The sequence below is a fragment of the Homo sapiens genome, chromosome 12 (assembly GCF_000001405.40).
Source record: "Homo sapiens chromosome 12, GRCh38.p14 Primary Assembly".
Classification (NCBI taxonomy): Eukaryota; Metazoa; Chordata; class Mammalia; order Primates; family Hominidae; genus Homo; species Homo sapiens.
This window is the reverse complement of record NC_000012.12, coordinates 104661636-104678684: the sequence shown is the minus strand read 5'-3', so window position 1 is coordinate 104678684 and position 17049 is coordinate 104661636. Positions and strand designations below refer to the sequence as shown.

The window sequence follows — 17049 nt, the reverse complement described above, 5'->3', positions numbered from 1 at the left end:
CAAGCATGAAGAAATAGGGTGTTTTGTTATGCAGAATTACTGTAGCAACGGATAACTGATACAATTGCTGAATCAATTCAGTAATACCTCCAGTATACCTGAATAGTCTAATTCATTTGATGTTTTTCATTTATTAAACTATGCCTCCATTTCCTCATCTGTAAAATGGATTAGTTGAGAAGACTAAATGAATTAAATCATGCAAAACATTTAGAACAGGATGTGGCCCATAATAAGCGCAGCATGTTAGCAAGTATTTTCATAAATGCCCTTCATTTGTTAGGCAATGTCTCACTCTGGGGTTATGGCAGTCAATAAGAGCCAATGTCCCTGTTCCCCTAGAAGTTCCATTCCAGAGGTGGTGAGAGAGACACCAGACAAATAAGGTGTTTTCTTTCAGTGAATGGAAATGTTGGGGAAGGATATACCTTTCTAGGCAAACCTTTACAATATGTTATTAGAACATTTTTCTTTCTCCATTGGGCCCTAAGATAGGCCAATAGAGATATCCAGCAATAAAAGTTAAATGTAAGGTTAAATTCTAGAGGTGATGAGAGAGACACCAGACAAATTAATGAGCAAGATCACTTCTGATGGTGACAAGTGCTATGAAGACAATAAAACAAGGCAATGCAAGAAGCAGTGCCTGGAAGGTTGGAGAAGGCCTCTCAAAGGAGGTGATATTTCATCTGAGACTTGATGAGAAGGCACCAACCACAGAAAGATCTCAGGGAAGTATGTTCCAGGAGTGGGAACAGCAAATATGCAAGTCCTTTGGTGGAACCTGTTTGACATGTTTGAGGAATGTGGGCCAAGAGGCTGGAACAGCAACTGAGGGACAGGGTGATATGAGGTGGGGCTGGAAGGCAAGCAGGGCCCCTTGGAAACAGAATCATCTAGCCCTCTGCCATTGAATCTCTAACCGCCCGTCTTGGCAACATGGTACCCAAGGAGGAGGGGAAGCTGTGCGCAGCTATGCGCCACATTTGAACTTCCGTGAATCTGCAAATGGACCAAATTTCCCTACCTCTCTCTCTCTGCTCTATTCCCCCCAAATTCCTAGTGGTTTCTCCCACTTTCAAATGGACACCCTGAAGGAGAAACATCACATGACCTGTGAAAGGCTGATCAAACAGAGTTGCTATTTAGGCTCTAGGCTCCAATAGGGGCTATAAATATCTTGGGCCTCTTTTAATATAAATGCTGTCACAAAAGACTGCCTTGATCTGCAGCATTCACAAGAAAATACTGTTTGACAAGCTAATCTCCACTCACCTTCCCCTTCTGTTCCTCGCCCATCCTCTGGTCAGCTGAATAACCCTTTTGTTCCTAACTGAGTCCAGTTCTAGCTAGTTAGAACCAGGTTTTGTTGTTTTTCTGCTTTTTGGAGGCCATGGGGACCCCTCGACCTGCATGCTAAGACTTTTGTTCCCTCTGACCAGGCCAAGACACTGGGCTCTGTTTGTTATTACAGGAACATTAAAAATAATTGAAAAGTAATCATTGCGAGAATAATGGCTCCCATTTTTGAGAGCCAATTAGGACCAGGCACTTTCCACACATTACTTCATTTTGTGCTCTCAACAGTCACGCAAAACTGGTACTGAAAACTCTATTCTTCAGATGAGGAAAGGAGGAAATGGGGCAGGGTCGGGAGAAGGTTGGAGAAGGGCGAAGAAATGAAATGTCTGCTTAGCCTAGGCTCACAGGCTAGTAAGGGCAGGGGCTGGGATGGGGCCCACACCACACAGCCCCTATAGAAACAAGAATGTGCCAGCACCCTGGCACGATGAGAATGGCCATCTGTGCTAGGCAGAATGACACGCCCAAAAGGCCGCATCCTAATCCCTGGAACCTGTGAATGTGACCTTCCATGGCAAAAGGAGAATTTGCAGCTGCGGTAGAGTGAAGGGTCTTGAGGTGGGAAGGTTATCCTGGATTTCCCAAGTGAGCTGCAGCTTCCTTAGGAAAGGAGGCAGGGAGGCCGGGTGCAGTGGCTCATGCCTGTAATCCCAACACTTTGGGAGGCCGATCACAAGGTCAGGAGATCGAGACCATCCTGGCCAACATGGGGAAACCCCATCTCTACTAAAAATACAAAAATTAGCCAGGCGTGGTGGCACATGTCTGCAGTCCCGGCTACTTGGGAGGCTGGGGCAGAATAATCCCTTGAACCCGGGAGGCGGAGGTTGCAGTGAGCCGAGATTGCGCCACTGCACTCCAGCCTGGTGACAGAGCGAGACTCTGTCTCAAAAGAAAAGGAGGCAGTGACTCGGAGTCAGAAAAGATGTGACAATGGAAGCAGAGTTGAGGAGATGCGGCCATGAGCCAAAAAATTCAGAAGGCATCTAATAGCTAAAAAAGGCAAGGGACAGATTCTCCACTGGAACCTCTGGAAGGAACTCATTTCTGCGGACACCTTGATTCTTGCCCCAGGAGACCCATTTCAGACTCCTGACCTCCAGAACAGTAAAATAACACATTTATATTGTTTCAGCCTCTACTTTGTAGCATTTTGTTACAGCAGCAATTGGAAACCAATACGGTGCCCTAACTGCAGGCTGATCTCTTGCTCAAATGAGATACATGACTCAAAAATCAAAACAATATAAAAAGATGATCATTGAACAGGTCTTTCCTATGCAGACAGAATTATAGGAGTTGACCAGTCGAGGCATGCGGGGATGTAGCTTGTGAACCTTGGCTCTGGAGTCAGACCTGGATTTTAGCCTACACCTCCTGACCACAGCACACGTGACCCTGAGTAAGCCCCCACCTTCTCCGAGCACAAATTCCTCATCCACAAAACAGGGGTGTACCTCTGTCAGAGTCCTTGAAGGAATCAACAGCAATTAATGGAACTGAGTGCTTACAGCCTGACAGCATGCTGTGGACTTTTTGCATGTATGTATCATCTAAGCCTCAAAACAACCCTGTAAGAATGGCAATGTTATTAATCCCATTCCACAGGAGAGGAAACTGAGGCACAGGGAAGTAATTTGCTTAAGTACGTGGTTTAGGACCAGGAATCTGACTCCAGAGTGAGTGGTTCTTCAACCCCTGGATTGAATAAAGTCCAAACAAAGCACTTGGCACTGAGTAAGCACTCGGCTCATAACAGCGGTTGTTAGTTCGGTTCATTCATTCATTCATTTATTTCTTATGGCCTCAGTTAATTGGATCCTGTGAACAGGAGATAGTAATACACCCTACTCACATTACATAGCTAAGAGAAAATAAGAAAAATGAATATTGGAAAGTTATGAGTCTGTATCACCCAGGGGGAAAAAGGCAAATCTACGGTTGAAGCAATTCCATACCATTCTTACTTGTAGAGAGGGCACATGAGTGTATTCGATGCTGCCATCAAGACGTGAGCATAACAGAAGCTGAAGTAATTTCTGTCAATTATAGGTCCTTAATGAGATCTATTTCAACGGTAAACCTCTCTTTTTAAAATAATGACGACTATCGTCATCTACTTCTGGTTCAATTTTAAAAGCATTTCTTTATAAACTTTTCATTTGGCCAGAATATTTTAATATATGTAACTGCTTAGAGTGATCACCACTAAAACATTAATATAACAGAGACACCTATACTAGACTGACCACAGCAAGGTAAATATAGTAAAAATATACCTTAAGAGTTACGCAGTACCTTTCTTCGGAAAAATGCAAAGTATTTTGTATTTTATTTTTCAAGTCACTATGTATCAGGACCTGTTATTATGCCCGACACTTTACATACATTAGCACATTTAATGCGTTAAATGTTATTAACCCCTGAAAAGTGAGGCTCAGAGAGGTTACGTGACTTGCCCAGGTTACACAGTATCTGGGTTTGAAAGACCATCCTTTTTATACCATACACAGGCAAGAAGACAAGGGCATTATATCCTAGATATAGAACTGCAAAACCAGTGAGAGAAAAATCTACACTTGTCTCAAGGCAGGGGCTGAAAAAAAAAAGTCTAATCCGTTAGCAAAGACTGACTGAGATTCCTCCGTTAACAGGAAAAGCCATTCAATATTCAATTAATTCTATAAACATTTATGGAACTCTGACTCTTCGAAATTATTCAGGCATTTAATGAGGGACAGTCCTGGGTGGTGGCTCAGAGCAGAGCTGCTGGACTCAAGAGGGCCTGGGTTTGAATCCCAGCTTCACCACTTATAAACTGGGTGATACTGGACAAGAAGTTACTGAACACTTTTTGTTTCTTGGGCCTTGTTTGTTTGTTCATCTCTAAAATGTGGATTGTAACAGCACCTTCCTCGTTAGGATGCAAGGATTAAGTATAAAGTCCTTACAACAATGCCTGGCACAGAGTAAGTGCTATGGCAGGGTGGTTATCATTATAGAAACACTGGTTGTCGTAGAATTAGTGATCTGGTTCGGATCACTCTGACAGACCACTGAGAGAAACAAGGCAGCATTTTAATGAACAGCTAAGAGTTTTAAACACACAAAGTTAGAATCTACCTGGAAATCTTTTACTAGCAGAACAGCTAAGGTTTGATTCTGTATTAACAAACATCCTCCCCAAAGAAGCCAGCAAAAAAATCCTGCTCTGGGACCGCAGTCTGAAATGTACAGCCTTATCTGTGCTGGAAACTGCAGAGAAATCAGACTCAGGGGAGGAAATCGACTAAAACTAAGTGCAGGCCATTCAACAGAGGCCGGGAGAGCTGACAGCAGAGGAAAACCGAGCAGCCATAAAGACACGGGCAGGGAAGAAAGATGCCACCAACGTCTGTGGAGAGGCAAGACTGTAACATGCTGCCTTCTCACTGCTCAGCCAACGTGGATTGATGCAGAACATGTGTCACGAGGCTGACCACATTTAATCTTTCAGCAGCCCTTCCAGGGAATGTTCTGCCAGACTCAGAGAGGTTAAGGAACTTGCCCAAGGTCACACGGCAACAAATTCCAAGTGATTTTAAGTAGGTCGAAAAGTCGAAACAAACGGTTTGTGAATGTGCTGTGCTACATGTTAAATGAGTTGTCTAGGACAGTCTCATTGCCTGGGGTAGCTTCCAATGATGATTATGATGCCATGATGATAATCACCATAAGAATGGTTGATATTTATGGAGTGCTTTGCTAATTGCCAGATAGCACTCGAAGCACTGTACTTACATGAACTCATTTAATGCTCATAACAAACCTATGGGTAGGTACTATTATCATTCCCATTTTACAGGTGAAGAAACTGAGGCCCAAAGAGGGTAAGTTACTTGTCCAAGTCAAATAGCTAAAAATAGGTGTCACCACATGTGTATTTTTGAGAAAATGCTCTAGGCTCACCCTAGAAAGCCTCAAGTCAGTGTTAATCCATGTAACAAACCATTCCATTAACAGGTACAGTAGGCTGAATGGTACCTCCCCAAAAGATAGGTCCACATCCAAATTCCCAGAATCTGGGAATGTGACCTTCTCTGGATAAACGGTCTTTGCAGATGTGATTAAGCTAAGGATCTTGAGATTATCCTGGAGTGTGTGGGTAGGCCCTAAATATTAATGACGTGTCTTTATAAGAGACAAAAAAGAAGACAGAAGAGGGGGCAGCAACGTGTACATGGAGCAGAGAGATGGGGCCCCAAGCCAAGGAGTTTGGCAACTGGGAGAGGCAAATAATAAATCTTCCCTTAGAGTCTCCAGAGGGAGTACAGCTTTGCTGACACCTTGATTTTGGACTTCTGGCCTCCAGAACTGGGAAAGAATACATTTCTGTTGTTTTAAGCCACCTGGTCTGTGGTGATTCATTATGGCAGCCTCAGAAATGGTGGGGCAGGTATGGCCAAGCATCAGGGTTTCAGAGTAATCCTCACGCCTGGGTGTCTGAGTGGTGGCAGCAGGAGAACAGAGGTGCCATGCGGGAGGCATGTGAAATCTGGGGGAGGCTCTTGGCTTGGAAAGTGTAGGAGGGAGAGTCACAGTCAGAATCACGAGCCAGTTTTCCAGCCAAGAAGGCTGCCCAGCAGAGCATACGCTTGTTGCCATGCACTGAGCTGCCCGTCATGGTGAGTAATCTTGCCCCATTGGGAGGTTACTCCTCCCGAGGTCCCTTTGGAGGTGGTGAAGCCAACCATCCTCACATGTTCTATTCCTGAAAGAGGCCAGGGCCAGGCCAGCTTCCAGCTCTCAGAAACACCTGCTCGTGGAATCAATGGCCACAAGGCATGGGATAGCTGATAAAGGGGTTTTCCTTCAAAGTTTTTCATTCTCTGCAGTATTTTGGCAGAATTTGCCAGAAAGCAGAAAGCAATGGTCTCTTTATTCTCCATTTCTGGAGCTATCTGCTCCTTTCGCCCCTCTCTGCAAAGACACTTGCCACAAGACAGCTGGACAGCCGGGCCCCTAATGGAGTCCTGCACACACATCACTCACACGAGCCATTACTCCGCAAGCCAGAGCTGACCTTGGGGAGAGAGGGACAATCCCCTCTCTCCCACACGGTCCACCCCCCTGTGCAGGCCAGACAGGTCTCAGGGAGGTAGGTTTCCAGAAAACGCGCTTCCCTGACATTCCTGGGCATTTTCATTGTCAGGGATGGAGAACTCGAGCTACCCAAATTGTATCAAAACATCTGAAGTCAGAGCAGAAATCTTAATGCTCCTTCCTCCAGGGCTGATCATTACAATATTCCTTAATGGGTAGGACATGGTCACTGACGGGTCAGAAGGAATGCTGCCTGGGAACTGTGCCAAGGCCTCCTGCCAAGTGCCAGTTTTGCCCCATCCCCCAACCACACCCCAGTTATGGAGAGGAAACTGATGAGTCACTGGCCGATTTGCTAACTTCAGTGTCCCAATGCCACACGCCTACAAGGTGACAAAGGGGGTTTCCATTTGGCTGTTGAAAGCCTCTTCTCACATTATGCAAGAAGAGGGCTGGGGGCGGGGAGGAGAGAGAGACAGAGAGAGAGAGAAAAAGAGAGAGAAAGATAGAGATTGGGTAAAATGTCTAAAATTCAAATCATAAGTTCAAGGGGGACTTTCTGTAAGTAAAGGAATCTTTGGTGAATAAAGTATCACCTCACTTTAAACAGTGGCTTTGCTCACACTGTAGGCGTTCTCTAGGCTGCCTGAGATAACTGTCCTGGCCCGTTTGCTGCGAAACCTGTGGGGGAAGCGACAGGACTTCCTAGACCGATCACAGTGCAGTGGGCTAAGAGCTTCCATGATCAAAACCATGATCGCGCTGGTAACAGTAATGATCAGTAGACAGGCATTCCAAGCACTTGATGTGGCTCTCCTCATCGAATATTCTTAACAACCCTAAGAATCAGGGCAAATACTGACCCCACTCTGCAAATGGGGAAATGAAGGCACAGCAAAACCAAATAACTTGCAGAGCCAAGATTTCAACCAAGCAGCCCTGCTCCAGGCTTTTCCCTACCACCCACACCCCATGCTTAGGATCACGGGCGCAGCAAGAAGCCGTGTCCAGTCAGACTGGAGATCACAAGAGGCTTTGCGGAGGAGGGTGTGCCCATGGCCAGCAGACTAGCTGTCAGCTAAAAGGAAAAGGTCATCTGCTCCCACCCCGTGTTAATGAGAAAAGCTAAAACTAGCCATTCTCTACCATCTCATCTCCAGTATTCCAATCTGGTGATTATGTTTTCAGCTCTGAACATGATCTTAGGGCTTCTCACCTGCCCAACACCCTCAGAAGGCAGGGCAGGAAATCCATATGTGGGAAATCAAAGAAACTGAAAAGGCAGAAGCAGAAACACAAAGCTGGAAAAGAGTGTGTGTGTGAGTGTGCATGTATGTGCATGTATGTATGTGTGTGTTTCTGTTGGTGTATATGTATAGGTGTGGGGGGTATGTGTGGGAGTGTGTGTGAGAATGTATGTGTGGGTGTGTGTTTATGTGGGGTGTGTGTGAGAGTGTATGTGTGGGTGTGTATTGGTTTGTGTATGTGAGGGGTATGTGTGGGAGTGTGTGTGTATATGTGGTGTGTATGTATGATGTGTGTGTATGCAGGGGTATGTGTGAGAGTATATTTGTGTGTGTGTGGGTATGTGTGGGAGAGTGTGCATGAGTGTGAGTGCGTGTGTATGGATGTGTTTGTGTGGGAGTGTGTGTATGAGTGTGAGTGCATGTGTGGGTGTGTATGTGTGGGAGTGTGTGTGTAAGTGTGAGTGCATGTGTGTATGGATGTGTTTGTGTGAGTGTGTATGAGTGTGAGTGTGTGTGTGTGTGGGTCTGAACATATGCACTTGCACATGTGTATATGCTCCATGAAGGAGGCTATGTTGGGGGTGGGTGGAGGAAATGGAGGCAGTTCATGGACGGTCTGGAATAGAAAAGCGGGGAAGGACCACCCTGCCCTGGGTGCCGTGCAGAGGCAGAGATTGCTGGTGGATTCAGAGTGGTGGGGAAGCCCCTTGGTTTTGAGGACTCGCTCTGCTACAGCCCTGTTAGCATCCTAAGGACTGAGGAAGTTGGGAGACCACAAGGCCTCTGTGGGCTGCTCTCACCAGAGTGCACCTGGCCAGGGTGGACCCCCCTTCCTCCCTCTCCCTGTGAGGCCAGCAGGCCCTGCAGCAGGCGGTGTGGAGTCCAGATTCTTCTGACTCTCTTGGCAAGCTTCCGCCTCTGTCCAGCTGTTGGCTTAGGTGAAGCTTTAGGAAAGCGAGAGGGGAAAAGGGAACTTAGATTTATTAAGGGCCTCCTCTAAACTAACATTTGTTGAGTTGAGCAATTTCTATGTGCTAAGCACAAGTATTTGATATGCATCAACTCAGTTCTCTTGCCACCTTTTGAGGGATTGGCTATTATTCCTGACTGAAGGTGAATCAACTGACAAAACGGAAAAGCCAGGCTCACAGGAGGAGGAAGTGGCAGAGCTGGGATCTGGACACGGGCAGGCTGGCCTCCAAAGCAAGTAAGCTACGAGCTGTCATCATACCCATTTAACAGATGAAAAACTGTGTTCTGGAGAAGCTGAGAACGGTGTCCAGGGTCACACAGCTAATTTGCAGGGCGCAGCTTGACCTTGGGTCAGCCTGGATCCCAAAGCCAGGCTCTCTGACCTCGTTTACTGCGCATGAGTTAGAAACACAGTCCACTGCAGAAAGGGGGAGCACTCTACAAACACAATGTAGGCCTGGAGCAGGGAGATGCCCAATTAACGTTTATGAATGAACAAAACCTCAGCGAATGCACCCAGGTCTGGAGGCCTGCATTCAGAATCCGGCCTCGGGGACAGTGGAAAGACCTAGAAGCATCCCTTTTCAAGGGGGAAAAAAAATCATTTGCACCATTTCTGAGAGCTGCAGGGGGAATGGATTCAAAACAAGCAAAGCTCTCCAAATAGCGATAAATACCTTAAATTACCCAGCAAGTTTAAAAGCCTTCATGCTGCTCTTTTTCCCAGTGCAGAACAGGCTCCTGATTGTGGCTGTTTAGAATGGAACATTCAGGAGGGCGTGGAGCTGGCGGGGCAGGAGAAGGGGAGGGGAGTGTGAGGAGGGGAGGAAAAACGCTCTGGCTGCCCGGGAACATTCACCCAGCTGGCTGGCAGGAGACACAGCGGGCGATTGTGCGAGCCTGTGCTTGCAGAGGGGTGCGTACGTCTAACGCACGCTGCAGTGGGGACTTCCTCAGTGCCTGGGGGCCGTGTTCCTTGCCCACAGAAATGGGGAGAAAGAAATGTCAGGGCTAATGTGGCTTCTCAAGGAGGCCTTCATTTCTGGAACCCAGAGTTGCCTGGGGGCCGTGTTCCTTGCCCACAGAAATGGGGAGAAAGAAATGTCAGGGTTAATGTGGCTTCTCAAGGAGGCCTTCATTTCTGGAACCCAGAGTTGCCTGGGTCTTCTCTGTGTTCTTACAGGAAAACAACTGTATTGGTTCCAAAGAGAACAGTTTGCTGAGGGCTGTGACTATCAGAATCTCATTCCCTCCAAATAGCAAGAGTCTGGGGTTTCTCCCTCTTCCGCCATGACCCATACATCTATGGGGGTTGCTGCCATCGGACAGACTGGTATGAATTAGTGCTATCCACCCGGGGGGATAATAAACGTCGGAACTAGGGGACGATAAATGTTCACAGGCAAGACAGCTGGAAAGACCTGGAATGCCTCTTCCCTTCTGCACAACACAGCTAATCTCCAGCCCCAGATAAGATAAACATGCTTTATGGGGACTGTATTCAGTTGCCCACTTGTGTGGTCAGCTGCAGCTCAGGGAGCTGCACTCACAAGTCCTTCAGCTGACCCAGCTGACGTCCCAACGCAGTGTGTTCTGTGTTGTCATGGTGTCTCGGGAGTGGGTTTAACACCCGTGACCTTAGAGGAGTTACAGAGATGCTCCACATACGGAAACTGGATAATGACATAATCTACTACCCAGGGTTGTTCTGGAGAGTGAGTTAACATGTATCATGTGCTCACCGCTTCCTGGGGGCTTCCTTTGTGGCAGGCACTTTTTAATATAAGACTTGGCATGGATAATCTCATTTAGTCCCTATATGACCCTATGAGGGGTGCTCATAAATACTGTCCTCACTTTCTTATTGTGTAAACTGACTTCCAGGGAAGTTAAGTCGTTAGCTCAAGGTCACACAGCCAGGGTATATGGTGTGGGGGTAAGCCAGGGGTGGTACCGGGATTGGAACCCAAGTATTCTTACTCCAGCTTCTGTGGGTTGGCTCTACTGGCTAGACTCCCTCCTAAAGACAAAACCCCATGAATCCAGTTCCTTTAGAATTAGTGGTTTCAATCCTGACTAGGCACACAAATCATCTCTGAGGATTTTAAAAACCATGAACTCATGGGTGCATACCCCTAGAGATTCTGATTCCGTGGGTCTGGGTGTCTAAGGTGTTTGAAAGCTCGCCAGGTGCTTTGGATGTGCAGCTGCAATAACCAGCATCACCAGAGACCTTAGGTGGTGCTAAGAAGCTGACAGGCAGCATCTCATTCCATCCTCACAACCAGCCTGAGGTAGGTCCATGACTTGCTTGCTTTACCGATGAGGAAACTGAGGCCCAGAGGAATTCATAGCTCCCCTAAGGTCATGAAATGAGCAGAAAGCAGAGTCTGGATGCATGCGGAAGTCCTAGCTCCAACACTGGATGGAAATGCAGATGAAAAAGTTAGGACCACTCGTCTAAAACCATCCTGTGTCCACTTGGCTCCTTCCCAAATGACGGCCAAAATTCTGTCCCTGATTGAGATGCAAGGTAAGGACTGGGATGAAACTCCAAAAGCTGGAGTTTTAAGGAACATATATGTTGTCATCCAATGACATTTATCTGGAGCCGGATCAGTATCTAGCAAAACCAAGGCTAGATTGCACAACCTTGGTGTGTAATCTGGAACACACAGTGAGCTGAGTGAGGCTGGACGACTTTCATTTCTCATTACCAGAAGCGTGGTGGGGGAATAAGGACACCTGTAGGTCTCCGTGGTGCCAAAGTGCTGTCAACTTCTAATGAGACGGCCTGGAAGAATCTTAAAAGTTTGCAGTCAATAGCTCAGGCCAAATGACTGTTAAAAACCAGACTCTGCTGGACCAAATTCACGGAACTGAATAATTCTTGTGGACAGGGTCAGGGTCACTTACCTCTCAAAATAACTTCGTATCATTTAACATAAGTTCTGTCAATGAAAATGAATGACTATGTTCATGAAGAACTATCAGGTCAACTGGAATGTTCTGCTCAACAAGCGTTTTAAAGGTACCTCCTATTTGCCAGGCCCCATGCCATACACTGGCAGGAGTGTGATGCAGACAGAGTCCTGGCCAGCTACCCTGGGCATAGTTTTGGGGGATGGCAAGGGGCAACGACTTATCTGTTCTGGCTCACTCCAGACCCCACCGCACACGGTACTGTAGAACGGTGAAAAAAGGGGTTATCAGACCTTGCCCCGCCTCTCTGATGAGGTACCTGATCCCAGCTCTACTGTTCCACACAGGACTTCCCTAGCTTCTCCTTCTCTCCCTTCCCTTTCCTTCCATCTTTTTTCAATCAGGAAACATTTGTTGGCCATCCACTGTATTTCAGAGTAAATCTGTATTTCAGGCATGTGGAGCCTTGGATACTGAATTTGAATACCAATGCAGCAGGACACTGGTATTATTCCATCCCATTTTATTCTTCCATCATCGCACCCTCTAGAATTCAACACGCAGACAGAGGCAAACGAGTTGCAAAAACACAGAGTCCCAAGAACAACGGAAGGAAATTGGATAGTCCTATCTTAATAAAATCTTGCTTTGGCAAAGCAGAATTCAAGGTAAAGGGGACTACAAAAGCCTGCCCACGTTTCACAATAACCCCAATCTTCTGTATTGCATTTTGGAAAACAAATAAAAATCTTTATTAAATTTCTCCATTCTCGCTTGCATCCAAAGTTGAATTGTTTTGGAAAGCTTGAGGGAAACAGTTCAGGTGTTTTTCAGGGACAGAAAACCTATACCCGTGATCATTTCAAATGCTAAGCATATTCTAAACCCCTACCAAACAGAACTTGCAATTAGTAGCAATTTAAATAAAGTATTCAATCTTAATTCTATACATGATAGTCTAAATAAGATTAAAAGAGAAAGAGGCCGGGTGCGGTGGCTCACACCTGTAATCCCAGCACTTTGGGAGGCCGAGGCGGGCGAATCATGAGGTCGGGAGATCAAGACCATCCTGGCCAACATGGTGAAACCCCATCTCTATTAAAATACAAAACATTAGCTGGGCATGGTGACGGGCACCTGTAATCCCAGCTACTCGGGAGGCTGAGGCAGGAGAATCACTTCAACCTGGAAGGCAGAGGTTGCAGTGAGCCGAGATCGCGCCACTGCGGTCCAGCCTGGTGACAGAGCAAGATTCCGTCTCAAAAAAAAAAAAAAAAAAAAAAAAAAGAGACAGAGAGAGAGAAAGAGAAAGGGAAAGAAAAAAGAAAGACCCCCACCCCCCACCCCACAAATCATGGACATTTGCTTGGCATCCAGAGAAAATTCCAAGTATGTTGTTTCAAATTTAAATGCAGAGTGTTCAAGTTTTCAATAGGCATAAAAAGTTAAAAATTAGAAATACAACTACTTACATTTATTGAACATGATGTACCCGATGCTGTGCAAAGCACTTTAGGTTGATGAACTAAGTTAATACTCAGAACCGCCCTGTGAGTAGTCATTATGATCCCAAGTTTACAGATGAGGAAAAAGAGATTCAGCTGTGATTCACACCTAGGCAGCGTGACCCCAGGATTTGCACTTGTCACTGTTACATTCAACTACCTCCATGCAGATGGCACAGTTTGAAACAAGACTTTCTGGACTATGATACATTTGTAAACGTTTTTAAGACTAGACTCTCTTCTTTTCTTCCATGCTGCTCCTTGCTCCTCCCAAAGTTCTGTTTCCCCTCAAATCCTGAGATGAGTGCTATTAGTATGCTGGCCTTTTATAGATGTAAAAATAAGCCCAGAGTAGGACAGTGACATAACCAAGGCCACACAGTACATAATAAATGGGGTAGAATCAGATCTCAGAGTCAGGCCTTTCGATCCCAAATCTCAAGGTTATTCTCATACATCTGCTATTCATCCAAGAGTGACCAGATTACCTAGAGAGGTGAAAGTGGGAAGAGGTTGGATGATGAAAGTTTATGGAGTTACCCCCTGAGTCTGCTAGCACAAGGTGAGGCACTCAGGCAGAGCACAGAGCCACTCTCTCTTCCTGAATAGCCCGGGTGTTGGCCACATTCATTACTGTAATTAACCCTCGAGGTTTGCCTCCGGGTTGAGGTTATTAAATATATTTTGGTATCTTTAAAAAAGCACATACAGCAAGTTCCATAAATTTAATAAATGGGCCTACATTGGTGACATGGAAATGTTTCCATGAAACAGTTCTTGCAATTTCATAACCGGCTCGTGTAAAACTTTAGGATGTCACTTAGGCCCATTGGAGGAATTATTTCCTTATAAATCTATGGTAGTCTTAGGAAGTCAAAATGGCACCATAAAAAGAAATAACCCCACTTCCCTGGAAAAAGGGCAGCATGCTCTGTCCGAGGAGGGGACTGGGGCTGTCTGCACTTGTAACATTTTACAGTGACTGTTGCCGGCATGGGCAGCATGCTCTGTCTGAGGAGGGACTGGGGCTGTTTGCACTTGTAACATTTCACAGTGACTGTTGCTGGCATCCAGTGAGGATGTATGCTGTTGCTGGGCTGGGCTGTGTGTTATATTTTACTGGCAAAAATAAATCTTACATTTTTACATAAAGCCGTGCTTCTCTAGAACACACCAAGAGAAAATGTGTCTAAACCTTAACAAAAAGGCCTTGCTGTCTCTCAAAGACCTAAGAAGACCACACTTAGAAAAATAAAGTCTTAAGTAATCAAAGAACATTTTTGTTAGCATCCTCATTTTTCTTTGATCGATGACATACATAAGAGTTGTGTTGAGAAACAGCTTTTTAAAAATGTTCCCGCCGCTTCACCCTCAGCTCTAAAATTCAGTTCACCTCGTGGTCTCCCTGAGTATTAGGCTACAGGCACAGTCAGCATTTCGCGGTTTATAGAAGAGAGGTGATATACAGTTCCTACCCTTGAGATGCCTCCACTGTAAAGGGAGGAATTATCTGCTAGATAGCTCGCTGGAAGTAATCAACTCCATAGTGAAGAAATAAGATGGAGGTCCCTATCTCATGTCCAGGGCAGATGGAAGTTCTGGATGGAGACTGGTACCCTAGTGGACAGGGGCTGCTGAAATTATGTATCTGTGTTTTTATCAGCAGACACAATGCCTGGCACAGCCTAATTGCTCCATACATGGATGGATGGATGGATGGATGAACAGATGGATGGGTGGAAGAAAGGGAACAAGAATAACAAAGTCACCCTTGGGAACTTGTTAATAAAGTACCTTAAATGGGCTAAAGAAAGGGGGAAGGGCATTCTTATTATGTCAGTGCCCTTGAAATGACATTAAAGCGACCCAAACAGAAATGCACAGCTCTCTACAACGGCACAATGCACTTGGGCAAACCATTCCTAGTAAGATTTTTTTAAATTAGGGTTGGTCTGTATGAGCCCCCTTTGAACACCAGTCTAAGCAAAGCAGTTGAATGTTATGGAGAAAAACTGCTCAAAAATGACACATGAATAAAAACAGGTTACCAAACAATATAAGCTAGGAGTATTCATTTTTTAAAAAATACAAACATGAATATCAGAGAAAAAGTCTGGAAAGATATTTATCAAAATTGTTAGCAATGATTATCTCTGGGTGGTGGATTTGCTGGTGATTTTTACCTTATTCATTTGACTTGCATTTATTTTCTATACTTTCTATACTAAACAAGTATTTGTCTCATACCTACAAAAAAAAGTTTAAAAATTGCAAGAAATCTCTGATGATGCCAGAGAAGAAAAAGTATTCACAAAACAAACCCACTGAAATCAACCTTAGCGAAATCACAGATTCAGTAGAACGTCACGAGATGGAAGTCGCACGGAGGTGAGGATGGAGTAGGTTAGACAGGGCTCGCCCAGGCCTCTGGAAGGAAGCCTTGTTGCACTGACCCAACACAGGCCAGCCTGCTGGATCCTCCCGGGTGCTCCCTAGTCTTTGGCCCAATCCCTCGGGGCACTCCCCATTTTTCTAGGGGAACAGTTGGTGTTTGTTTTTCCTTTGTCTGTGGTGAGGAACAGCTGTACAAACCAAATCACATTAAATAAATTAGTGGCACCTGAGTGGGCTCCGTGGCACAATTTCTAATTCACACAATGCCTCCAGTTTTGCTATTTCAACTAAATCATTTATCAATTCCTTCACGGAGGTCAGTAAATCTCAGCATCTGGGGACCTGTAAACATTAAAATAAGAAGCTATAAAAAATATTAGTAAATCAATTAAAAGCTCAAACAGCAATAAACCCTACTTGTATTACACCTAAAAAACAAAAACAGACCCTCCTCCTCTGAAATTAAATAAACATTCCATATCAGCAGTTTTCAATGAGCTTTTTCTTTCTTCTCAAAAGACCTCCTGATCTCCCATCTGGTACCTTGGTGAGCTGGGAATTACACATCAGTTGTAAAAAGGAATAAAGGATGGAAAAAATCTGAATTTCTGACTCCAGAAAGCAAACACGATCCATATTTCATTGCAAGAGTTAGGAAATGGCCTAAAAATCGTTATCATTTGAAAAATATCTAGTTTGAGTCATGACTGGGAATTGGCTAATATTTACCCAAGTCAAATGAAAAAGATACACAATTATCACTAACCGCAATGATAAGGAGGAGGAACTACCATTCTATGGAGTTCTGCCATTTACAAAGCCCTTTCATTTGATGATTCAAGCCTCACAACCACCCCACGAGGTAGGTAAAAGTTGCAATTATTTCCAGCCTTTAAGATGAGAAACGTGGGGCTCAGAGATGTTAAGTGGTTTTCCTGAGGGCACACAGCTAATGAGAGGACGTGCTGACACTCAAACCCAGATCTTGGACTCCCAGCCCGTTTCCTTTGCTTGCTGACCTGCTTCAGGTGTGACATCAAGGATAAGAAAGTAACATACACTGAGATCCTACTATGTGCCAGGTGCCTTGTTACCAACACGTATCCTTGACTTTAATCTTGTGGCCATCAGAGTTTATATTTCTATTAAAAATGATTTCCTGCTCTCCTTCACCTCCACCCAGATGGAGCTCACTGATTCATCTCAGACTGAGAAACGAGGCTCAGGATGTTTAATTAAAAGTAACATCTTCTTTTTGCCAAGATTCCATGTTCTAATCCTGACACAAATAGAAAGAACAGGTGTTTTCTGAAAAGCAAGGAGGTGGAAACACTAGTCATCTCCAACTTCCAGAATACTTTATCCAAATTTTGTTGTGGAAGAGACCCCATCACTGGGTATGGTTAAACTGGGGTGAAAATCATGTGGCTGCTAGGAAACCAGGCATCCCGGGTCCTGGTCAAAGACAGGAGCACCTTCACCACTACTGCTGTGTATCAGGAGGCAGAGGAGAGTGAGACAGAAAAACTAGCACTCAGGACCCAGGAGAGAAGGGGCTCTCTTGC

The 17049-nt window shown here is 45.2% G+C and overlaps 1 protein-coding gene across 4 annotated transcripts in view, besides 1 other annotated feature; it reads right to left on the bottom strand.

The window, feature by feature from the left end:
* Positions 1–17049, bottom strand: part of CHST11 (carbohydrate sulfotransferase 11) — a 305067-nt gene that overhangs the window by 83330 nt on the left and 204688 nt on the right. The window lies entirely within an intron of this gene.
* Positions 6670–7274: an enhancer, noted in NCBI's record as "H3K27ac-H3K4me1 hESC enhancer chr12:105065189-105065793 (GRCh37/hg19 assembly coordinates)". NCBI's record gives its function as "activates a minimal SCP1, AML or CMV promoter by ChIP-STARR-seq in naive H9 embryonic stem cells {active_cell/tissue: H9 hESC(naive)}" and the evidence as "EXISTENCE:reporter gene assay evidence [ECO:0000049][PMID:30033119]".